Below are 25684 nucleotides of genomic sequence, written 5' to 3'. Positions count from 1 at the left end.
ATTGGTGTGGTGGGAAGACAGAGTTCCCATCTGTGGCTCTTCTTTTCCATCTGAAGTATGAGGCAGGGTCGTCAGCAGAGAGCGTGAGTGGGGGACAGGGTGTGGGAAGCTGGAGGAGAAGGTGATGTGAAATTGTTTTCCGGGAGTGGGCGGCAAGGCTACCAGAGAAACACAGGCCTGTCGGCCACTGCAGAGTGACAGTTTGAGGTCAGAGAACATGAATTTAAAGTGAAACTTGTCCACCCTGTTTTGACCTTGCCCAGTGGCGTGGGTGTGGGTGTGGAGGAAGCAGGTGGCAGAAGGCATCAGGCTGGGGTTCGGCCAGGCAGGGGGGCAGGATCCACCGGGGATTGGTAACCATGAGAGACCATGGGATGGACATGGGCCCTCCCAGGAAGAAAGGGAGGCCGGGAGGTGGCTGGTGGAGTGGGGAAGTAAATCAGTGGCCTGGAGGTCTCTGCGAGATGGGAAATGCATGTGCGGGGAACTGGGAGGATGGGTGGTGTGGGCGGGAAGCAAGGGATCTGCAGCTCATGTTTTAAGGTGATGGAGGATTCCAGGGTATGGCTGTGGGTGAGGGTCACTAAAGGAGCATGGGGAAGGAGGCATTGGAGTGGAAGAGGCTGAGGAACTGAGTCCAGGGTGTTGAGGGTTATCTCTGTGGATGGTGACAGGTGGTGGGCGGAAGAGGAGGCTGGGCCAGGAGCTGAAGCCCTTGGTGGGTGGCAGAAAGTAACGTGGAGGCAGGCGAAGGTGGGTGGGAACAGGTGGCTGAATGACCTCGCCTCCAGGGCACAGAGGGACTGCATGATGGGGGCCACCAGGATACCCTTCCCCCTCCCTTTCTGTTCTGCATATGTGGGGGGCGGTGGGGAGTGTTGCTCTCAGGGACTCACTGGTTTCCAGTAAGGCATGAAAGTGAAGAGAGTGTTCTGGCCAGGGATGCTGAGGCCTGCTGATTTCCAGAAGGATTTCCTGTGAGTGTGGGAGGATAGGGAGCGGGAAGGACCGGCTCAGATTTGGGAACATCCAGGGCAGGGAGAACTCTGCGTGTTGCTGGGTGGCAGGGAAGTGTGGTGTCCACCCCTTCCCAAGGTAGAGTGATGGCACCTATTCATGTCTTGGGCATGGGGAGTGGGGCGGGTCTTTCGTGAGTGTGAGAGAGACTTGGGGATTTCGAGTGGAAGGTGAGCTCCCTGTGAGTCAGCCCTGGTGATGTGGTTGCCAGGATGCTGCCTCAAACTCTGAAGACCTTAGTGAAGTGTGAAAGCACTGTAGGAAAGGAGGCAGTGGGCCTGCCCCGCTCCCATCTAGAACCCTGCGTTTGGTTCTGGGCACCAGAGGTCCCCTAAGTATAGATGTATGGAAGGACATTTGGAGGAGAGAATGCAGAGCAGGAGGGGTCTGGGCATGTTTCTGTGAGAATGATGAGAAGGTGGGGTTCTTGGCTGGGTGCAGTGGCTCACACCTGTAAACCTAGCACTTTGGGAGGCTGAGGTGGGAGGATTGCTTGAAGCCACAAGTTCGAGATCAGCCTGGGGTGATGTAGTGAGACCTCTTCCCTACCAGTCATTTTTTGTGTTGTTGTTTCTTTTTTTATTAGCTGGGTGTGGTGGCATGCACCTGTAGTCCCAGCTACTCAGGAGGCTGAGACAGCAGAATTCCTTGAGCCCAGGAGGTCGAGGCTGCAGTGAGCCATGATTGCACCACTGCACTCCATCCTGGATGACAGAGCAAGACCTCATCTCAAGGAAGGGTTCTTAATGTGGGATGTGGGGTCTCTGAACACCCCTGCCCATCCTATGGAGAGTTGTAGATAAGTGTGTGCTTGTCTGGGGAGGGTGTCCATAGTTTTTTTTTTTTTTATCAGATTTTCAAAGGGGTCCTTGATCCAAAGGAGATTAGCACCACCTGTTTAAAGGACTTGGGCATACTTAGCCTAGAGAAGGGACAACTTGAGCTGACAGTGAGGGCACGGGGAGGAGAGAGCCGCCCCCCTGTAGATTACCAGCTGCCGTTTGTGGTGGGGAGCTTGCTCTATGTGGACCCACCCAGTGGGGTTCAGATCGGTGGGAGGGAGCCCAGCTTTGGCTCTGTGTGGGCATCTGAGGGAGCCTAAGAGCACCTCTCACAGTTGGGGTGTGCACAGGGCAGGAGGCAGGAGGAGAAGGCCTGTGATGCCGCCAAAAGCTTTGTCCAAACCTTGTTCTGAGGAGTAAACAGCTTTGAACATTGCTGGGTTTTCCTCATCCTCAGAGAGAGTGTCTTGAGGGCCGAGCTTTGCGGGAGTGATGAAGCCCTTGTGGAGGCTCAGGGGTGTGGCTCAGGAGGCAGCGCATTAATTCTCATCTTAGGGAGTGCACCATCAGCTTGTCTTGGGGCCTCAATTACTCCTCTGTGGTGTGAGAATACTGTTCCGTATGGCATTGCCTTGGGGTGTGGTGGGTAGCTCTTCCCCAGGTCTTTTTTTTTCTTTTTTCTTTTTTTTTTTTGAGACAGAGTCTTGCTGTGTTGCCCAGGCTCAGGCTGGAGTGCAGTGGTGTGATCTTGGCTCACTGCAACCTCCAGCTCCCAGGTTCAAGCGATTCTCCTGCCTGAGCCTCCCAAGTAGCTGGGACTACAGGTGCGCACCACCATGCCTGGCTGATTTTTGTGATTTTAGCAGAGACAGGGTTTTGCCATGTTGGCCATGCTAGTCGCAAACTCCTGACCTCAAGTGATCCACCTTCCTTGGCCTCCCAAAGTGCTGGGATTACAGGCGTGAGCCACCACGCCCGGCCCTCTTCCCTACATCTTACTCGGGAATGAGCTCTCCTGCATAGGCCTTTGCTTGCCCACCTAGATGGTCTCTAGCATTGGGCTGTCTTCCATAATATGGATGGAGTTGGGTGAGAAGAGTGCTGAATTAGGCCCCCCAGGCCTGGGTTTGAGCACAGCTTTATCTCGTAGTAGAAAGTCCTGTCTTCCCCTCACCCAGTGTGTTCCTAGTGATGGTTAGGGCTCCTGTCTTTCTTTGGCACTAACAGAATCAGATTCAGTAAATTTAAAGTGACTCCTGTGAGACAGAACTGCTGGTTAATTGAGTTTGACTTTGTGAGAGTGTCCTCTCTTTTTCTTCTGTCAGTTTTGTTTTGTTTTGTTTTGTTTTGTTTTTTGAGACGGAGTCTCGCTCTGTCGCCCATGCTGGAGTGCAGTGGCGCGATCTCGGCTCATGGCAACCTCTGCCTTTTGGGTTCAAGCGATTCTCCTGCGTCAGTCTTCTGAGTAGCTGGGACTACAGGTGCATGCCACCACACCCAACTAATTTTTTGTATTTTTAGTAGAGACGGGGTTTCACCGTGTTAGCCAGGATGGTCTCGATCTCCTGACCTCGTGATCTGCCTGCCTCGGCCTCCCAAAGTGCTGGGATTATAGGCATGAGCCACCGCACCTGGCCTTTTTTTTTTTTTTTTTTTTAAAGCAGGCATGCTTCACCAAGGATGAAATATTCTGAAAAACTGGAATTGGAATCCCACAGCCTGATTGAAAGCCATATCACTGGCTTCAAGGGAGGGAGCTAAAAAAAGCTACTCCTTGGCTTCTCCCATGAATTTTAAATGTTCTGAAAGCTTTGCCTTGAGAAGGAAACAATGCCTCATGCCTTAAATAATTAAGTGGAGTACACTAAGAATGGCAGTGTCAGCCCAGGCTGGTCACACTGTGGCCCCAGGGGGCCTGTCTCTCAAGGGCAGAGCTCTGTGGGTGCTGGACGAAGTTGTCCTCATAGCAAAAATTGGTACAGCTTCAAATACTGCCTTTTAGGCATTTGGTGAAATTGGCATAACCCTGGAAATGTCATAAAAGAGGATGAAGGTGGCATGTGGTAGAATGCAAGCTTTTTTTTTTTTTTTGATACAGTGTCTTGTTCTGTCGTCCAGGCTAGAGTGCAGTGGCTAGATCTTGGCTCTGTATGGGCAACTGAGGGAGCCCAAGAGCACCTCTCATAGGCGGGGTGTGCACAGGGCAGGAGGTGCACAGGGCACACTGCAACCTCCGCCTCCCGGGTTCAAGTGAGTCTCCTGCCTCAGCCCCCCCAAGTAGCTGGGATTACAGGTGCCCGCCACCACACCCGACTAACTTTGGTATTTTTAGTAGAGACGGGGTTTCATTATGTTGGCCAGGCTGGTCTCAAACTCCAGACCTCAAGTGATCTACCCTCCTCGGCCTCCCAAAGTTCTTGGATTACAGGCATGAGCCACCACACCCAGCCAGAATGCAAGTTTTCTGCTGAAAAGCTGCATCCATCAGCTGTTTGTATCAGACAAACAGTGAATTCTTAGCTGGCCTTAATTTGCCCCTCCACTGCCACATGACTGTCCATGTGGGATGACTGTGGGCCAGGCCCAAGTCTGTATCCTCCCAACAACTATAGTATTGGCAGTGGTTTCTCTGTACACTTGGTGGAAACTTCTGGAGAATCTGTGCAGGGAAAAGGCTACTTTATCTTCAGGCAGAAGACCCTCCCTTCAGGGGCAGTGATGGCATCTCAGAGCTGCTTCCTGGCTGTCTGTGCACTCTGTGATTGCACCGGACGCTTACCTCTGAGGCTGCAGGATGGCATGCTGTACAGACGTCAGGTCATGCCAGGCGGTCCTTGTGGTATCTTACATGGTTTCTGTGGAAGAGTGAGTTCTGCCGGGGTAACTAATACTTATTGACTCCCTTTATACGGTATTTCATTTGAGCTTCACATTTTATGGATAAACTAGAGTTGAGAGAGGTGGAGTGACTTGGTTAAGGTCACACAGCCAGCACACAGAGTGAAGTTGGTGGTTATGTGTGTGGTCCGACCCTGAGGGAAGTCACCCAGAGGGTCACATTTTGTGAGACTTTTATAGTTCCATGAGAAAAACAGCCTTTATTTCAAGAGTACAACTTGAAGTCTAAAACCAAAAGCAGAGATGTGCCTCAGAAAAGCTGTGTTAGGCCGGGCGTGGTGGCTCACGCCTGTAATCCCAGCACTTTGGGAGGCCGAGGCGGACGGATCACTGGAGGTCGGAGTTCAAGACCAGCCTGACCAACATGGAGAAGCCCCATCTCTACTAAAAATACAAAATTAGCCAGGCGTGGTGGCACATGCCTGTAATCCCAGCTACTCGGGAGGCTGAGGTAGGAGAATCACTTGAGCCCAGCAGGCGGAGGTTGAGGTGAGCCAAGATCCTGCCCCTACACTTCAGCCTGGGCAACAAGAGCGAAACTCCGTCTCAAAAAAAAAACAACAAAACTGTGTTAGCATACCTGTAACAGGGTGGAGGCTAGTAGCCGAGGCTTCCTTTGATTTTTTTTTTTTTTTTTTTTTTGATAGTCTCACTCTGTCACCCAGGCTGGAGTGTGCAGTGACGCGATCTCGGCTCACTGCAATCTCCGCCTCCTGGGTTCAAGTGATTCTCTTGCCTCAGCCTCCCAAGTAGCTGGGATTACAGGTGTGTACCACTACACCTGGCTAATTTTTGTATTTTTAGTAGAGACGGGGTTTCTCCATGTTGGGCAGGCTGGTCTTGAACTCCTGACCTCAGGTGTTCCACCCGCCTTGACCTCCCAAAGTGCTGGGATTACGGGCGTGAGCCACCGTGCCTGGCCTCCTATGGATTTCTTTTGCTCAGAACCTGCTAAGCCGTTTTCCTTGTCTTCCCTTTCTCATCCATCTATCTCCCAGCTTCTCCCTGGTCCTTTTTCTCAGGTTTCAGCAGAGTTTCTCAGAATGATTTAGTTCTTTGATCCTGTTGGATTGTATATTACGATCACTTCTATGAAGGCATTATTCAGATTACGTGGTAGGAATCTAAATCTCAAATAAGTTAAGCCTGTTAGGCTGGGTCTATGATCGGCTGTATTGATACTAATCTTGACACACAGCAGGGTTGTAAGCTCCCCAAAGCCCACATTGCTCACCCTCTTTTTGGCCTTGAATCAGAATCTTTTCCATACCCAGCAATGATTCACACTTTAGATGGTCGTCTGCATTGTTGATTGTCTCAAAGATGCATGACAGCTTTTTTTTTTTTTTTTTTTTAGTTTTTATTTTTTTGCCAGTTGTTACAGCTGTTTTTTTGTAGATGGGGCTCTCCTGGCTGTAATAGGATTCATCTGTTGGGAATGTGAGAGGGAAGGTGATGTGGTTTTCGGGACTGGTTTCTCAAATCAAACAGCACTTTATCTCCATAGAAGTTGGGAGTTTCAAGCTCCTCTATCCTAGGTGAGAGGTGAGACTGACTTTGAGAAGTGAAATTTGGTTCTTTATGCATCTTACAAAAATCGGTTGTTTAATTTATTTATATGCCCTTTTTCTTGGAGCAAGTCTACCCATTAAAGGCTAAACTAACCTAGTGAATAACGAATGCAGCTTGATGAAGAAGTTACAGTCTAAAATTATGATCTGAACCTAGATAGGATCTTGTTAAGTATTTATTGCTGGTTATTCATGGTTGCAGTCTTCTAGGTAATCTGTTTTTATTTTTTATTTGCTTTTGTTTTCTAACCAAAAGAGAGCTGGAGTAGGTAATCTGGTTTTAGAATGAAAATTTTTAGGAAGTCTTTGGAACTGTTCTTGGTAACAGGTAAAGTCCATTTCCCCCTACATCCATGCAATTAAATATTTGCATGGCGGAAACAGAAACCAGTCTATGTGCTCAGACCTCTCATGTTCTAAAGGCTTCCAATGTTTTGTGCTTGGGGTTATCAGAATCAACAGCTTTATTTAGGTTACCTGTGTTGCGGTGGCCGCCAGTGGGAAGAGAGCTGCGTCCAAGCAGTCCAGGTGGAGGTTACCCTTGCACACAATAGATTTAGCCCAGTAGTGTACTTCTGGCTGGTCTTTAGGCCAGCAGTGCATTTCTAGCAGAGAAACCACTGCCAATACTATAGTGGTTGAGAGGATACAGAGTTGGGCCGGGCCCGCAGTCATCCCACATGGGCAGTCATGCTGCCGTGGAGGGGCAGAAGTAGCCTAGCGGTGCACTTTTTTTTTTTTTTTTTTTTTTGAGACGGAGTTTTTGCTCTTGTTGTCCAGGCTGGAATGCACAATGGCACAATCTCAGCTCACTGCAACTTCCGCCTCCCGGTTTCAATCAATTCTCCTTCCTCAGCCTCCGAAGTAGCTGGGATTACAGGCATGCACTACTATGCCCGGCTAATTTTTTGTATTTAGTAGAGATGGGGTTTTACCATGTTGGTTAGGCTGATCTTGAACTCCTGACTTCACGTGATCCACCCACCTTGGCCTCCCAAAGTGCTGGGATTACAGGCGTGAGCCACTGCGCCCAGCCAGCAGTGCACTTCTTACATCCTAACTTTGCTCCTCCATTCACGCAGTTAACTAATATTTACTGAGTACTTGCCCCTGTCCTTGTAGAGCTTACAGTATAGCAAGGAACATGGGAATTGAATATTATAAAAATAATTACTCAATTATGGAATATAAAATATATAAATTGCAGTGTGGTTTCCAGGACTGGTTTCCCAATCAAGCAACACTTTATCGCTATAGAAATTGGGAGTTTCAAGCTCCTCCGTCCTAGGTAAGAGGTGAGTAATTATTACAAAAGTAATTCCTCAATTATAATTCACTCATTCAGTGAGTATTTGTTAAGTATCTAGTGTAGGCTAGGCACTGTTCATGGGAGTGATGATATCCATGAACCAGACAGACAAGAATTCTTGCCTTTTGAAGCTTACATTTTAATGAGACATGCATTAAATGAAAACAACAAATAAGTAAATTTCATGGCATGTTAGAAGGTGGTAAGTGTTGTGGGACACAACAGAGGCAGGTGTCGATGACTGGGAGTATGGGCTGGGCTGGGAGTGGCATCATATGTGCTAGAGCCTGAATGTTTGTGTCCCCCACGGATTCATATGTTGAAATCAAATCATGAATGTGATGGTATTAGGAGGTGGGGACTTTGTTGGGGTGATTAGGTCATAGGAGTAGAGCCCTCATTAAAGGGATTAGTTCCTGTCTTAGTCCATTTTGTGCTGCTGTAACAGAATACTACAGTCTGGGTAATTTGTAATGAACAGAAATTTACTGGCTTACCATTCTGGAGGCTGGGTAGTTTAGTATCAAGGTGCAGGCATTTGGGGAGGGTCTTGCTTGTCATCACATAATGAAAGGGCAAAGAGAGAGAAAAAAGGGTGGAACTCACCCTTGTATAATGGCATCAATCCTCCCCATGAGGGTGAAGCCCTCATGGTCTGATCACCTCTTCAAGGCTCCACCTCTTAATACTGTTACAATGGCAATTACATTTCTTTCTTTCTTTCTTTTTGAAGACAGTCTTGCTGTGTTGCCCAGGCTGGAGTGCAGTGGCACAATCTCAGCTCACTGCAACCTCCACCTTCTGGGCTCAAGTGATTCTCCTGCCTCAGCCTCCTGAGTAGCTGGGATTACAGGTGTGTGCCAACACGCCCAGCTAATTTTTGTATTTTTAGTAGAGACGAGGTTTCACCATGTTGGCCAGGCTGGTCTCAAACTCCTAAGCTCAGATGATCTGCCTGCCTCGGCCTCCAAAAGTGCTGGGATTACAAGTGTAAGCCACCCCACCTGGTCGAAATTAAATTTCAACATGAGTTTTGGAGGGGACAGACAAACTAAAGCGGTCCTTATAAAAGAGGCCTGAGAGAGCTGCCTTGCTGCTTCCATCACATGAGGATACAGTGAGAGTATGCCATCTGTGAGTCAGAAAGTGTGCCCTCACCAGACACCAAATCTACTGGCACCTTGACTTTGGACCTCTCATCAGAACTGTGAGAAATAAATTTCTGTTGTTTATAAGCTATACGCAGCCTCTCGTATTTTGTGATAGCAGCCCGTGTGGACTGGGACAGTGTGTGTCAGTGTCAGGGAGTGGGATATATGACATGAAGATTATAGATGGGTTGGACTTACTGGTAATGAAAGGTTATGACAGGGAGTTGGAGAGGCAAGAGAAGAGAAGGTCAAGAACTGAGCCCAGCTGGAAGAACCATCTATGTGTGTATTGAAATCACAAAGAATCAAGACAAGATTAGTGTAGGAGAGAGGGACTGTGATCTAGAGCTAAAATCATTGAGAAATGAGGGGGAGTATCATGGGGGTTGGTGGTTGACAGAGTCTGATGATAGGAGATTCAGGGCTGGGGAATTTTAGGGAGGGGGAAGAGAATTATCTAGAAGGGGCAATGAGGAGCCTAGTGGTCCAGCTGTGAAAATGTTCTGAAGGAGAATTATGGGGTGCCATGAAAGCAAATAATAGGTATCTAACCTGGTATGGAGGGGCTGGGAAGGCTTCCCTGAGGAAGTGACATTTGAGAGGGTGGTGGGTTGGGCTAGAGGAGGTCAAAGGGAAGAAGGAACTCTTAAGGGTTACACAGCCAAAGGGAAATTTCTCTGAACAGTTCTGGGGGCTGAATGTGGACAAGGAGCTTGAGAGAAAGAGGATTTCCCAAGGTAGTGCAAACTAACTCCAGCCCATCTAGAATCCTCATTTTATGCATGCCACCCTCTGAAACTGACACACATGGTCCTAGGCAGTTCAGGCTGCTATCATGGGAGGAAGAGACCTGTTGTGGTAGCTGGTGGCTACAGAGAGACCCAGGGGACCACATGGAGGTTCTGTGTGGCCACCCAGGGGGCTGGCTGTTGAGGCACCAGGTCCTGCCTAATGCCCCATCTTACTGACCCCATGGCTGGTTGATGAACATGGTCTAAACAGGCGTGAGAGGCACCTGCAGGGGCTGTGAAACCTTGGGCTGGAACCTGAAGGTTTTGGGAACTTAAGGAGTATTTTTGGGCTTTCTCCTGAGTGGGACTTTGGGAAAGGCTGTGGAGATCCTATTGATGAGAGGCTTGGGATTTCTGAATCATTCCTTAAGGCCTGAGATGACAGCTTTGGTAAGGGATGGATAAGGATGAACCTGTTTACCCCAAGATCAGCTGAGCACCTCAAGGGCTTCAGCCTAAACATAGTGGTAGGGGGAGAGGAAAAGGGCTGAGGTGGTCTGGGAGAAGAGTGGGTAGAACAAAGGTGTGGGAAATAACTGATGATATGCACAATGGAACAAAGTAAAGGGACCCTGGAGCATCACGTTGGGCTTAGGTGACTGTCACTGAGTAGCTATGTGTGGCTTTGGACAAGTTACTTAATCTTTTTTTCCTTTCTGTTTTCCTCTGTGAAACAAAGTATAGATGCCGATTTCTCAAGGTTGTTGGGAAAATTGGGTGAGATGTATGTCAGTGCCCAGCATGATGCCCAGCCCACAACAGGTGATCAATAAGCACTAGAACCTCCAGGAAGTACCTTTTCCAAGGTTCTGCTGAGATTGCGGGGAGCGGATCTTAGCAAGCATTGCCGTATGACCATGGAAAGGCATTTTCTGTTTAGAAAACAGATCTCTTAGGAGCAGACTGTGAATTGCCCTGAAGCCCTAAGATGTAAATGTGCATGGAAACATGTCAATCTGAGGATGGAAGCTTGAAGAAGATAAAAGTGAAGTCGGGAGAAGTCTACACACACAAGCCATGTGGCCCTTTGGAGAAGACAAGTGACATGTCCCTGGTGCATGGGAACAAGCAGGGGCTGTTCTGGGGCCAGACTCAAAAAAAAAAAAAAAAAAAGGGCCAGCACACATGGGCCCCAGCTGTCTAGACACCTGCTGGCAGCCTCATTTTACTAAAAGTCAAGCATTGAACCTTTTCCAAAGGGAGAATAAACTCTAGAAGATCCAGTACCATAGCCCCACATCTGATTGATCTTAACCCGTTACCCACACAGCAGCCAAAGCACTCCAGAGTGACGGGAGAATGTGCCGGTCTTCTGTTAGCTGCTTACTTCTGTGTGCTGAAGACCTACCAATACTCCGTACCTTTTCTTTCCAAACCCAAAGAAGTGTACAAGGAACTTTACTGAGTGCTTGCTCCCATCACCTCTTGTTCTCTCTTTCTCTGTCTCTCTATGTCTGCACGCCTCTCTCTCACCTCTTTGTTGACACATTTCCTGGGTGCCAAGCTCTGTCTTAATTCTGGCTGAGACACGGCACGTAAGATGTAGTCATGACCCTTAAATTTACCCTGGTAGAGCTGTGCTTTACAGCCTCTTTCAGACCAGGCAGGGCGCATTGGGAAGGGTCACTTGTACAACCGACTGGGGAAAATGAAGGAGGTTGATGGTAAGATCAACCATAAGCCAGGGTTCCAGCTGTCAGGCCCTGCCAGGAGCCGAGAGGGTCAGTGTACCTCAGCATACCCTGCGTGAGTGTGGGTGGGTATGTGCACACTTGCATGCGTGCATGGGAGGAGAACATTATCTAGCGGTTCTGCTGTAGAGCATGTTCTCAGCTCCCTGTACTGTCCAACAAAGAGCTGCTGTTTGCTTTTTGGAATTACACAGGGTCCCACTAGGCAGGAGCTGGTCACTCTGAGCCCTCTGAGACTGGGGTTCACTCAAAGCCTCTGGCCACAACATCAAGCACCTTTTTTTTTTTTTTTTTTTGAGACGGACTCTTGCTCTGTCACTCAAGCTGGAGTGCAATGGCGTGATCTCAGCTCACTGCAACCTCCACCTCCCAGGTTCAAGCAATTCTCATGCCTCAGCCTCCTGAGTAGCTGGGACTGCAGGCACGTGTCACCAGACCCCTCTAATTTTTTGTATTTTTAGTAGAGATGGGGTTTCACCATGTTGGCCAGGCTCGTCTCGAACTCCTGACGTCAGGTGATGCCCCTGCCTCAGCCTCCCAAAGTGTTGGGATTATAGGTGTGAGCCACTGCGCCTGGCCCAAGCACCTCTTTTATCAAGGCACTACAGGGGCCCCAGAAATGAAAACCTGATCCCTACCCAAGGGGACTTGCAGCCCAATTTGGGGGGAACACATCTCTAGCTACCCAAAGATGAGCCTGAATAACATATGACGGCCACGAGTGAGGTATAGAGAGAGCTGGTATCCAGGGAGAGAACCCAGTCTGGTGTTGGAGCCACGTGCCTCTGATGGAAGAGGTGACCAATTTGCACTTTGCCCTGAAGGGTGGTAGGATTCTGACCTGGGGGTGGTGTGCTCAGTGCAGGGGTGACATGAGCAGGGGGCATTCTGGAGGAAGGCACAGCTCCTCGGAAAGCACAGGTATGGGGTGAGCAGGGACATCTGTTAAGCCTGTAGGTTGGGTGCAGGGATTGATAGGGAGGAGATGACAAAGTTAGGTGGAGACAAAGGCTGAGTGAGGACTTGGATTTTGGCTCAGAAGGCTGCCTTCACAACCTGTTCATGAATAGCTGGACAGGCGGACACCTGTGGTTGGTTTGAATGGAGTGCAGTTGGCCCTGTGTAGTACAAGGGAATCAAGCATAAAAAAAGGCTCCCTTCACTTGTGTCTCACTCGTTTGAGGTTCACAAGGGCTAACTTTCTATTGAATGTGGCCTCTCTCGGCTTCTTCCGAGCCAGCATATACCTAGTGCCGCTGGGCTATGTAAAGCTGTGGACACAAACTATTTTTGTGCTCCTTCAAATGCCCATGTTTATTTTTAAACTTGAGGCTTTGTAAAGCAGGGAGGTATCATGCAGGCTTTACTTTTGAGTAAAAAGGTTCTCTTGGGCTGATAGAACCTGCAAAAAGTGTTCTTGATTTAGAGTTGTGCATTCTCTTAATGCCTCAATGCCTGTAGTCTGGCATTATAGGGAAGGCCATGGAACTCATTTGCTTTAAAACAAATCCTGGAAAGAGGAAACCCCACATATGTTTGCCAGTTCCTTAAAGTGTCCTGGCAGATCTGTGTCAGGGGCAGTGGTGCTCATACAAGGAAGGTCTTTCAGTGTTGGAGGTGGGGTGGGTGTGACAAGCTGGGATGTAAATCTGAATGTGCCAAGCCCACCTCCAACCTCCCACCAATAGGAGCCCTTGGACAAGGAGCTTAGAATAGAATATCTGTTATCTTTTAAGCATATGCAAGTTATAACTGAAAAATGAATGAGATTAACTTAATGTTCAAGATGGAGGATTCAGCACTTGTGCTTATTTATACCTTCTCTCCCCAGAACCCATTAAAATGATAATAAGGAGATTATGAAAAGTATAATCCCAGGACAGCAAAATGAATGGGAGGGAATTATCAGTAGTTGAGAGATTACAATAAATTTCTGGACCATAGAAAGCTAGTAGAGGAAAGGCAATGTCAGAAATATAGCACAGAGGAGACCAGAGCCCAGAGTCTGAGTGGAGGGGCCACAGGGAGTTGGGGTAGCTGACCAGTCTGCCCTGCACAACCCCAGAGACCCTCTGAACTGAGTCTGCAGGTCCAGCAAGGGCAGGAGTGAGAAGTGGTGCTGAAGCTGGGGCTTTAATTGGAGGTCTCAGGTGATACTAGGTGATACTCCTGCCACAGGGACACTGTGCATATCAGCGGGATGGGGGACGAGTGGACTCCACTGGCAGAGCCAAGACTGGGAGTGTGGATGTTGGCATTCTAGAATAAAGTCTTCCTTGGTCTGGCGTGCATCCAGGGTAGGCGGATGGTATTTGGAAGCATGGTATCAGCTCAGATCAGCGTGGGGAAAGGGGGAAAGTGTGACGTGCTCCAGCACCAAGGAGTCCGGAAGGGGAGGAGGAGCCAGCAGAAGCAGCTTCTCATCAGATAAGATGACAGGAGAAGAGTGGAGCAAGGCCTGCACAGTGGCACATGAGGGAAAACCTGTTTTTTTTGAGATGGAGTCTCACTCTGTCCTCCAGGCTGGAGTGCAGTGGTGCGATCTTGGCTCACTGCAACCTCCGCCTCCCGGGTTCAAGTGATTTTCGTGCCTCAGCTAGCTGGGATTACAGGTGTGTGCCACCACACCTGGTTAATTTTTTGTATTTTTTGTAGAGATGGGGTTTCCCCATGTTGGCCAGCCTGGTCTTGAACTCCTGACCTCAGGTGATCTGCCCACCTTGGCCTCCCAAAGTGCTGGGATTACAAGTGTGAGCCACCATGCCCGTCTGAAAATCATTTTTTTTAAGCCATTTAAAACAATTGTTTTAAGCTGAGTGCTGTGGTAGTCGCAGCTCCTAGGGAGGCTGAAGTAAGAGGATTGCTTGAGCCCAAGAATTTGAATCTAGCCTGGGCAACATAGTAAGACTTTGTGTCTTAAAAAAAAAAAAAAAAAAGATTGTTTTACCCCCAGAGTGGTAGGCTAAAAAATGTCTCCCATAGATATATCAGATGCTCATTTCTGAACCTACGTTACCGTATATGTTAAAGGGTCTTTGCAGATATGATAAGTTAAGGACTTTGAGATGGGGAGGTTATCCTGCATTATCCAGGGCCCAGTGTAATCACAAGTGTTCTGAAGAGAGTAGCAGAGGGAGATTTTACTACACACAGAATAGAGAAGAGGATGTGAGGATCTCTGCAGAGAGCTTTGAAGATGCTTTGCTGCAGGCTTTGAAGATGGAGGAGGAGGCCATGAGCCAAGGAACGCAGCTCTAGAAGCTGGGAAAGGTGGGGCAATGGATGCTTCCTTAGAGCTTCCAACCCTAGAGCCTCTGGAGGCAGCATGGCCCTGGCGACACCTTGGTTTCAGCCCAGTCAACTGACTGCGGATTTCTGCCCTCCAGAGCTGTGAGAAAATAAATTCCTGTCATGTAAGCCCCCAAGTTTGTGGGAATTTGGTACAGCAGCCCTAGGATACATCCAGCCAAAACCAATCAAGTATAAGGGGGAAAGTAAAGGCCATTCCTGATGTGCAAGGACTTAAAGTTGACCTCCCGCTCATCTTGAGGATCTACAACAGCAAAACAATGGCGAAGACTATGAAGGAGGTCATGATGTGGGGAAGTGGGCAAAAAGAATTGATGGCTCCTGGGAGTCTGGTGAAAAGAACTTCTGGACAGATGGCTATGAATGGGCCTCAGAAGCATTCACTCCAAATTACAGGTGGAAGTTACTGGCTCCAAGAATAATATCTTGAGGACAGAGACTGGAGCAGATTCCAGACAATGGACAGAGTGAACAAGCTGGAATATACTAGGGTTATGGGAAGACGGGCTGTGTTTCTTTCCTCGATAGAGAAGGCAATAGGAAAACATCACAAAAATTAAAAATTATCACAAGCATGTCATGTTTCAAATATGAAGTGCACGAAAGATACCGCCTGCTTTTGAACAACTGGGAGAGTGCTAGAAAGGAGAAGCTTCTCTCTGACCTTGATACTAGGAATGTTTTCCTGTGAGTAGCACTCTGCTGTTGACATTGGAACTGTACAGAAAGAACTATAATCCTGGCACATTTTTTGCCTCTGCAGGGAACAATATTTATATAGTCATAAGAATGTTCTTTTTTAAAAGGGTTACATAGTACTCTATTGTGTTAATTTATTGACTTGATTCTTCCTGGTACTGGACGTTCCAATTAATTTCTGGTTGACCTTTTTGTAAATAATGCTCAAACCTGAGGTCAGTTTGATCTGTGAAGCCTCTTTGTTGGGAGAGTTGGATAATTGGATTATTATACTAGTAATGTATGATTATGTATGAGAAGGGACTCCACATGCAACAATGATGACTGAATTCTGCAGGGAGGTGGTTGATGGCTTACCTAATGACTCTCCCTCACTGGGCTGAGCTGTTTGTGCTGGGCGTCTGGCCAACAGGCCAACCTGTCCTTGATCCTGTATGGACGAGCAACCCGTTGTGACTTCCCTGAGTAAGGCCTGAAGGCAGAGAGAGGTGTTGGGTAGAGCAGGCATGTTAACTTACATGTCTGGTATAAATGGGAGAGACCTGAGCTTGTTTTTGCCAACAGAAGAGATCCAGAAGCACAGAGGGGCTATTGGTGTAATCTAGGTCAGTGTTTCCCAATCTTTTTAGTGTCACGGACACATGGAAAATATGTTTACAGCACCTAGGCAAATGGACAAAACAGTGCCCAGCCCTGGGACTCCTGTGGCCCAGGCCCTGCTCTGCACCCTGAGGGTTGAGATCCCCTTCTCAGCAGGCTACTTCTTCCCAGGACAAGTGACATCTTTGTACAAATTAGAAAAAAACGCTTCTTTAAGACACCTTCTGGAAATCTGTGATCTGCCAGGCAGTTGATGTAATGAGTCTGCGTGTCTTTCATGATTGACACTCAGAGTTGTGCCCTGCACAGCCATTTACGGGGCCGAGTTCAACACACCTGTGGCCCATTGGAGGACACTACTAGGTAGGAGGCTGACAGCCTGGGCTGCTGAGGAGAGGACAGCGAGGGAGATGTTCCTGCTGTGTGCTGGGTGTGAGATTCCCAGGTTTCTGCCATAGTGACAGATCCAGTGGTGTGAGTCACTGAAATAGGGGTGCAGGGAGAACAGCAGCAGGGAGGTAAGGTGCAAGCATGGGGTTCAGGAGAGACACCTGGGCTGGAGGTACACATTCAGGTGTCATCACATAGACATGTCCTCAAAGCTGTGGAGGTGAGTGTGGAGGGGAAACCCCATGGAGAAGAACTAAGGGAATGAGCCCCCACCAGACCACCCAGCCTCACCTGCTGAGGTGGGGCCTGATACTCAAGTAGGACACGGAAATGAGGCCCTGGTAGGAGAGAAATCTGAGCACTGTGGTATCCTGTCCCGTGGGCACTGTCCCAACATGATCACACTGTCCTGAGAATAGCATCTGCCTGCTCTAGAGGATCCCTGGCAAAGACCTCTGGCTGTGACACCTGAACCCCAGAGCACCGTGGCCTGAGTATCTGTACCCTCAGGTGCTGGAGTTTCTGCACCCAGTACTCATCCTGAGTCACTGCCAGTGAGTGCTGTCCGGGAGGGATGGCGTCTATATATCTCTGTGTCCCTAGGGTCAAGCGTTAGATTTTTGAAGGATTCTTATGAGAGTAGACACTGGGACTTTGATGAGTGTGTAATGCGGCTCGGGCAATGCTGCCTGCTTTTAGTCCCTAGTTAGCTCTGGGCCATTTGCTGCCCAGGTGTTCTCCATGATCCTGCTCCGAGCTGCTCCTCGGAGTAGATGGTCCAGCTGAGGAGCAGGCTGACCCAGTCCTGCAGGGCTCTAGTCTCAGCAGCAGTCTCGCCCCTAAACTATAAGGATTTGGGGCCCCCACACCTGTCTTAGACCAGATGAGGTTGATTTCACTTTTGCCCTTGACATTGTGGGAAATAATAGAGATGAGTTTTGCCTTGCTGGGCACATGTGATATAATTTTAAAGCCAAATAATCTAGTTTAGCAAGTATTTTGGGCCTACTGTGTGCATAGGCCTGCAGCATATGAAAGGCTGGTGGGAGGCACACTGTTTCCAAGTGTTTACAGCAAGCTCACCATGGCTGTAGAACAATGGGTTTATTCTTCTTAACTAGTTTTCCTTCCTTGAAGACTTCCCTTAAATGCCTCAATCTCATAATATTCTAAACACGTAACTTCTCCCTCTCACATACACTGGGGTTTGCTGCTGTCCCCACGGGGGCGGATCTTCCCCGCTTGCACCTTCCTGCATGTGTCTTTGGTATCATGTGCCATGTCCTTGGGTGCGAAGGAAAGGGCTGTTCCAGCAGTTCCCCCTGGGGCCCTGGGAGAGGAGGGACAGGTGCCTGTGCTATTTCCCCAAGATAAAGGGCAGCTGTTCTGCTCTCAGCCTGCTCTAGCTGGTAACATACCTTCACTTGTGGCTGGGATCCTATCAATTCTTGAGGCCACCTTGGTGATATCCTGCAGATTAGAAAACCGTTTGGCGGTTATATGTGACTTCTTAGAGCAATGAAGAAATGAGGAAATAAATTACTTTTTCATAAATTCTGCCTAGAAGGGCAAACTCTTTCAATAATGGGATTTATAGGGAAAATGCAAATCAGAAATGGGTACTTCTTGTTCAGTGGGTTAACTGTGAGTTAGAAAAAAACAAAAATTGTAAAATGAGGGCTCTGGGCCGGGCACGGTGGCTCACACCTGTAATCCCAGCACTTTGAGAGGCCGAGGCAGGCGAATCACAAGGTCAAGAGATCGAGGCCATCCTGGCCAACATGGTGAAACCCCGTCTCTACTAAAAATACAAAAATTAGCTGGACATTGTGGCGTGCGCCTGTAATCCCAGCTACTCGGGAGGTTGAGGCAGGATAATCACTTGAACCCAGGGGGTGGAGGTTGCAGTAACCCGAGATCGCGCCATTGCACTCCAGTCTGGCAACAGAGTGAGACTCTGTCTCAAAAAAAAAAAAATGAGGGCTCTGGCTCTTTCCAGAGCAGCCCATACTTTGGGCCAAGCAGCTGGCAACTCAGGGCTCAGCTCTCTTAGTGCCAAGTCCCCATCCAGCTTGTGTCATCTTTGTCCCTTTGCCATCTAAAGCTCTTGAGAGTACTTAACCTCTCCCCCTCTGCCGACCCTGGTGTTTGGAGCACCCTCACACCTGTTCTGTTTGGTCCAGCGGGGTCTGCACTTGACCTTTAGATTGGGAAGCAAGAGACACTGGCCTCTCTCTTGCCTGGATAAGACTTCTCATTGCAGCAAGGCTGTCCTCACGTCACATGCATGCAATAGACCTATTCTCAATCCTGTCGGAAGACCCTTGCTTTAGGGTCACTGTTTTGTACCTCATCCCATGTACACACAGGTGCTCAGACAGACAGGTACCAATCTCCCTGGATTCTGAGGCCATGGCTGTCTTGTTTCCTGGGATATTCTTGGCACCCAGCACAGCTCTCCTTTATAGTTGTGGATTAAATATTTGTTAAGTTAATATATATTTGTACACATATTTATAAGAATGGGAGCAGAGGATGGTGCTGTTTAGCAACTCGCTCTTTTCACTCCACGCTCCGAGTGTTGGCTGAATATTTTTGGAATTCTGGAACCCATGAATTCTTTGTTTCCCCCCATTATTTTGTTTCCTCTGAGGCAAGAAGTTTCAAGTGACACTCAAGTCCTTCAAGGTCTGGCTAATTCTATTTGGTAGGGAAGGGGACAGAAAGTTGTAGCTAGGCTGGGACTCAGCAACACTGGGTGGTCTCTTTATTTTGTAACAGTGAAGTATAGAATCAATCAGAATACATAAAGAAAAGAAGACCATCTTTCCATGTGAGCAAATATTTACTTATAATTTTGAAAGGCCAAGTGGTACTTTTCGCACGGATATATCATACTTAATTTAACCAATCCTCAACTTTGGGGCATTTAGTTTATTTACAGGTTTATTTTTGTTTGTTTGTTTTTGTTTTTAATAAGCAGCTCTTCAGTGACTATCCTTTGGCATAAGTATCTTTGTATATCCTTATTTATCACTTTTGAATAGATTCCAAGAAGTGGAGTTGTTGGGTTGAGGAGTATGCAGTTCTAAGGCTTTATTTATCTATTTATTTGAGACAGGGCAGCTCACTGCAGCCTTGAACTCCCAGGCCCAGGCAATCCTCCCACGTTAGCCTCCCAGCAGCTGGGACTACAGGCACGTGCCACCATGCCCGGCAAATTTTGTTTGTTTGTTTGTTTGTTTGTTTTTTGTAGCGAAGGGGTCTCCCTTGGTCTTCAACTCCTAGGCTCAAGTGATCCACTCCTCTCAGCCTCCCAAAGTGCCTGGATTACAGGCATGAGCCACTGTACCTGGCAGTTCTGAGACTTTGGATGTGTGATGATAAATTGCCTCCCAGTGAATTCTATCAAGGTATAGTACTCCAACAGTGGTGTGGAAGAGGCAGACAGTGGGGTTTTTTTCCAGTCTTCTAAAAAAATTATGGCAAAATTTATATAACATAATATTATGATAACATAAACATTACCATTTTAGCCATGTTACATGTATAGAGTTCAGGGCATTAAGTGCATTCACACTGTTCTACAACCATCATCACTATCTCCAGAATTCTTTCAGCAGTTGATTTTTTTTTTTTTTCAATTAAAAAAAATTGAAAAAATTTTCAGTTGAGCCTCGAATTCCTGGGCTCAAGTGATCCTCCTGCCTCAGCCTCCCCAGTAGCTGGGACTACAGGCACACACCATCACACCCAGCTAGTTTTTGTATTTTTTGTCACATTATGTTGCTCAGGCTGATCTCAAACTCTTGGCCTCAAGCATTCCTCCCACTTCGGCTTCCCAAGGCGCTAAGGTTACAGGTGTGAGCCACTGTGCCCACCTCCATCTGTCCTCTAAATGCACGCCCTTTGCAGGTTTCTCTTTGGTGCCATTGAGCTGTTCTTCACAGTTGCTCTTCCTCCCTTTGTCCTCCTAAGGACTCAGTCCTGTCATTATCTCTGTGAAGCCATCCCCGACCTCACCAGGAGTTGCTCCCAGCACACTTTGTTGTTGTTTAGTAAAACACACATAAAATGTACCACCTAAATCATTTGTAAGTGTACAGTTCAGTGGCATTAAGCTTATTCACAATGTCGTGTAGCCATCACTACTCTCCATTTCCAGAACTTTTCATCATCCCAAACAGAAACTCTGAACCCATTAAGCAATAACTCCCCATTCCCTCCTCCCCCAGCCACTGGTAATCACTGTTCTACTTTCTGTCTCTATGAATTTGACAATTTGATTCATATAAGTGGACTCATAGAATATTTATTTTGTGACTGGTTTATTTCACTTAGCATATTTCCAAAGTTCATCCATGTTGTAGCATATAGTGGACTTCCTTTTTTTTTTTTTTTTTTTTAAAGATGGAGTCTCACTCTGCCACCCAGGCTGGAGTGCAGTGGCATGATCTTGGCTCACTGCAAGCTCTGCCTCCCGGGTTCACGCTGTTCTCCTGCCTCAGCCTCCCAAGTAGCTGGGACTACAGGTGCCCACCACCATGCCTGGCTAATTGTGTGTGTGTGTGTGTGTGTGTGTGTGTGTGTGTGTGTGTGTGTGTGTATTTTTAGTAGAGATGGGGTTTCACCGTGTTAGCCAGGATGGTCTCGATCTCCTGACCTCGTGATCTGCCCGGCTCAGCCTCCCAAAGTCTGGGATTACAGGCATAAGCCACCGCACCTGGCCGACTTTCATTCCTTTTTAAGGCTATTCGATTCTATGTGTATGCCACATTTTGTTTATCCATTTATCTGTTGATAGACTTTGGGTCGTTTCTACTTTGTGGCTGTTGTGAATAATGCTGCTTTGAACCTGGGCATACAAGTAGCTGTTTGGGTCTGCTTTCAATGCTTTTGGGTATATACCTAGAAGAATTGCAGGGCCACGTGGAAATGCTGTATTTAACTTTTTGAGGAAGCACCAGTTTTCCACAGCCCTGTACACGTTTTAAATAAATGACCAGAAAAGAGATGGCACCTGAGAATTCCCAGGGAGCCAGGATGAGGGACTGGCAGTGGGGGATTCTGGAGGAAGGGTCCAGGATGGAGGGACTGCAGCAAGAACATTTCCTAAGGCATGCAAAGCTTGACTGTGTGATCTGCTGTCTACCGTCAATAGTTTACTCTTCTAAGCAGGGGTTTGTGTTGCTTTCAGGAAGATGGCCTGATAGAGTGCTGCTGTTGGGATGAAATTACAGAAGCAAGAACAATAGCAGAAATAGGGGGAGGCAGGCTGTGTGCCCTGGGCTGTAGGCAGTAGGTCAGACTCTCAGGCTCTGCTGGTAGGCACCATTGGTTAGGAACTGCATGGGGTTTCCAGATGCAGAAGAGAAGTTCTAGAAGGATCTGGAGCTACCCTCTCCGTGTAGCTCAGGCTTCTTCAAGATGATCAGACTACATCAGGCAATGTTTGCTGTTAAAAAAAAAAAATCAGACTAACCTGGAGGCAAAGTAAGAAAAGTGGATGTTCTCCTTGGGCACTGGTGGCTGCCATAACCACCCTCTCCAGGGCACAGGGATGCTGAGCTTTAACTCCATCGTGGCACTTCATACAAGGAGTGAATAGCAGAGTCCAGTATGACATCTTCGTCGTCTTTGAAATATGGCCTGCCCACTATCTGCAGGTTTGCTTGTAACTTCCAAGGCTGCACCGCATAAAAACCATTTGCTTTACAGTTACCTGACTCCCTCTTGTCTCTCTACACCCCAGTTTTCTGTGTTTTCAGTATTTCTAAGAGCATTATTTAAAATTTTCCTGTTAATAAAAGACCCTGAAATAGGTTAACTAGTGTGTGAGGTTCCCTCCTTGGGCAGCTGCAACCCAAGAAAGTCATTCAGGGCCCAGAACAGTCACACACACACAGTCCGCCTACTTAGGGTATAGGCTGCCTTCAGATAGGTACACGGTTGTTCCTTTAGAGATGTGCCCGGTATCTGTCATCCTTCACTTCACACCCAGTAGGATGGCTATATCAAAAAGACAGACAATAACAAGTGTTGGTGAGAATGTGCACAAATTGGAACGCTTATACATTGCTGGTGGGAACATAAATGGAGCAGCTGTTTTGGAAGCCAGCCTGACGGTTCCTCAAAAGCTAAACATAGAGTTATCCTATGACTTAACAATGCCACTCCTAGGTATATATACCCAAGAGCCAAGAAAACATATGTCCACATAATTATAGTATATGGATATTCATAGCAGCATTATTTGTAATAGCCAAAAGATGGAAACAACCCTAATGTCCATCAGATGAAGAATGGATTAAAAAAAAAGTGATATATCCATACAGTGGGCTATAATACAGCCATAAAAAGAATGAAACACTGATATATATTGACATGGATCAACCTCAGAAATATTACGCTCACTGAAAAGAAAAGCTAGATATAAAAAGCCACATATTATATGATTCAATTTATATGAAATGCCTGAAACAGGCAAATTCAGAGAGACAGAAAGTAAGTTAGTGGTTGCTAGGGGCTGGGGGAAGAGGAGAATGATTGCTAATGAGTACGGGGTTTGAGGGGTGCTCTGAAAATGCCCTGAAATTAAGCAGTGGTGATGGTTACGCAATTCTGTGAATAAAAAGCCACTGAATTGGGGACTTTAAAAAGGTAGATTTTATGGTGTCCACATTATATCTCAATACAAATAACTTTAAAAATTATTCATTTTTTATGTGAAATTTAAATTCATTTATTTATTTTTTGGGACAGAGTTTCACTCTGTTGCCCAGGCTGGAGTGCAGTGGTGCGATCTTGGCTCACTGCAACCTCCGCCTCCTGGGTTCAAGCAATTCTCCTGCCTCAGCCTCCCAAGTGGCTGGGATTACAGGTACTTGCCACCACACCTAGCTAATTTTTGTACTTTTGTAGAGATGGGGGTTTTACCATGTTGACCAGTCTGGTCTCGAACTCCTGACCTCAGGTGAGGTCCTGTCTCGGCCTCCCAAAGTGCTGGAATTACAGGTGTGAACCACCTCACCCGGCCGTGAAATTTAAATTTAGCTGAAAGTCCTGTCTTTTTATCTGCCAAATCTGGCAACTCTATACTTGCCAACTGTTCTTGTAAATAAAGTTTTATTGGAACACACACATATAGCCATTAGCCTGAGAGACCAACTGATAGTGTAAATGAAAATATAAACACTCTTTTGAGGTATGTCTGCACCTTTGGTTTTATGCTTTACACTTTTTGTAATTGACTTGGCAAGTTACCAGCTCTTTACACCATGCAATCTAATTTTAAACTAAAGTGATTCCTAGGAAAATAAAAAAACAGCTTTTTTTCCCCTAAACCTAAATTCAGAGTGGTAGCCGTACATTTACAACGACTGGCTTCTAGAAGTGGTACTAGGGTACTTCTTGCTGCTACCTGGAAACCTGAAAGGGTAGGTACCTGGGAACCATAAAACCAGTTTGCCAAAACTAGAACTAATTTGCAAGTAAAGGAAAAAAACAAGTCCTAGACTTCTAAGTTTTTAAACTTTGAACAATTTTCTTAAGTTATAAAAGCACAGTTATTCTTTTTGAAGATTTCTTTGTTTAATTTGCTGATGGTAATAGGGAGAGAGAGCTAGATTCTCTATGGGAGGGTTGAGCTGTCTAAGGTGGCAAAGGGATTCTCTTCCCTGCAGTGGCGTCTTACACCTATAATCAACATAACATTCCTTTAACAGTCTGCTATTAATAGCAAAAAGGCACTTTGCACATGTTATCACATTTAATCTTAACAAACCCTTGAGGTGGTTATATTAATGTCCCTACCTCACACAGACTGAAGGGACTTAGCCCTGAACCCTCCTCCCTTACTCCTTAAGAAGAGAAACGGAAAAGTTGTGTGGAGCAGCCTTCCTCTTGTTTAACTTTGACCCTGACAGAAACCAGACTTGAAACTAGGCACTGTTACGTTGCTGAGACAAAATGAAGAATGTTTCTGAGGAGAACAAAAATCACCTGGTGACCATTGAACAGGCCCCGGAGACAAAAACTCCCATCTGAGGAATTTAGAAGGGAGCAAAGACCACCTGGTGACCATCAAACACGCCTTCCGAGGCAAACTCCTTATCTGGGAAATTAGAAGTAATTGCACTTCCCTATTATCTAAAGCAGGCATCTGGTTCCAGATTTCTTTCCCCCAAAATTTATAAGTCACTAGGATTTCTATACATCTCCAGAATGCCATGCCAAAACGTACTGTGCAACCCTTGCTGACATTAAGGCACCAGAATTACTACAGATGTAATCATTTATCATGACCTACGTGGCTAGTATGGTCCAAATTACCCTCAAGCTCCTGCCTTAAGGTCCATAAATACCCCTAAGGAAAAATCCACCATAAGGTGCTCAGTCCTCTCACCGACTCACCCCACTGGACTCCTCGGCAGCGTTCCTTCTTTCTAATAAAACTTCTTCAAGCCTATATGGTTGTCAGTAAATTCTTACCAACCCACGAGTCAACCACTTTACAATGTGGGGGCTTTGACACCTCACCTGGCAGTATCATCTTTTTAATGTGTATTTGAGATGTCCGTCACTTTCTTTACCTTTCTCAGTAAAGGTAGGGAAACAAGTTAGCCTTTTTTTTTTTTTTTTTTTTTTTTTTTTGAGACAGAATCTTGCTCTGTTACCCAGGCTGGAGTGCAGTAGCATGATCTCAGCTTACTGCAACTTCTACCTCCCAGGTTCAAGCGATTCTCCTGCCTCAGCCTCCTGAGTAGCTGAGATTACAGGCACACACCACCATGCCTGGCTAATTTGTATTTTTAGTAGAGACGGGGTTTCACCATGTTGGCCAGGCTGGTCTCAAACTCCTGACCTCGGGTGATCTATCTGTCCCGGCCTCCCAAAGTGTTGGGATTACAGGCATGAGCCACCGCACCCAGCTGAAACAAGTTAGCTTTTAATATGATATGTAACTGTAGGATACAGTAAAATTCCTCTTCAAAGGTTTTAGCCTGTTAACTTCCTTTAAAATCCAAGAGTGGAAAAGTTGTTAAGTACAATGAGTTCTGAGTTCCTCTTCAAAGAGCCAATATGTCAGTATGTTCAGCTCTCTGGTTCTTTGTTCTCCATTTTAAAGTTTAACTTCCTTGTTCTTTACACCTCCTTGCCCCTAGCTTCAGTAAATGACCCCCTCCTAGCCTCTATTACCTGCTCTGACCTTAGTCATCCTTGGTCACCTGCTCTGTCCTTAGTCATCCTTGGTCACCTGCTCTGTCCTTAGTCATCCTTAGTCACCTGTTCTGTAACCATCCCTCCCGCCAAAACTACTCACCCCACCACTCCAATTTGTACCGCTGTCCTCTTTAAAATAGCCAATCAGAATTAGCTTAGACTGTGCAGTCCAACCCTAGCCAACAGGGGAAAGACACAGCAGTAGGGACTAACTGCGTTAGGAAGAAGACCCCTTTCCCCTCCCTTGTCGAGTG

The 25684-nt window shown here is 47.0% G+C and overlaps 1 protein-coding gene and 1 long non-coding RNA gene across 15 annotated transcripts in view; one reads left to right on the top strand and one right to left on the bottom strand.

Annotated features, from left to right (window-relative positions):
• HOMER2 (homer scaffold protein 2) overlaps positions 1-25684 on the top strand; it is a 151497-nt gene that overhangs the window by 51165 nt on the left and 74648 nt on the right. The window lies entirely within an intron of this gene.
• The window catches only part of LOC105370928 (uncharacterized), a 49172-nt gene that overhangs the window by 6981 nt on the left and 16507 nt on the right, over positions 1-25684 (bottom strand). Inside the window, exons 3-4 of the long non-coding RNA XR_007064741.1 lie at positions 17627-17678; positions 15576-15690 (exon numbers count right to left, since the gene is read on the bottom strand). This is a non-coding gene — a long non-coding RNA (uncharacterized LOC105370928). The remainder of the gene's footprint in view (positions 1-15575; positions 15691-17626; positions 17679-25684) is intronic.

This window comes from Homo sapiens, chromosome 15, assembly GCF_000001405.40.
Source record: "Homo sapiens chromosome 15, GRCh38.p14 Primary Assembly".
NCBI classification, from domain to species: domain Eukaryota; kingdom Metazoa; phylum Chordata; class Mammalia; order Primates; family Hominidae; genus Homo; species Homo sapiens.
This window is presented reverse-complemented; position numbering and strand designations above follow the sequence as displayed.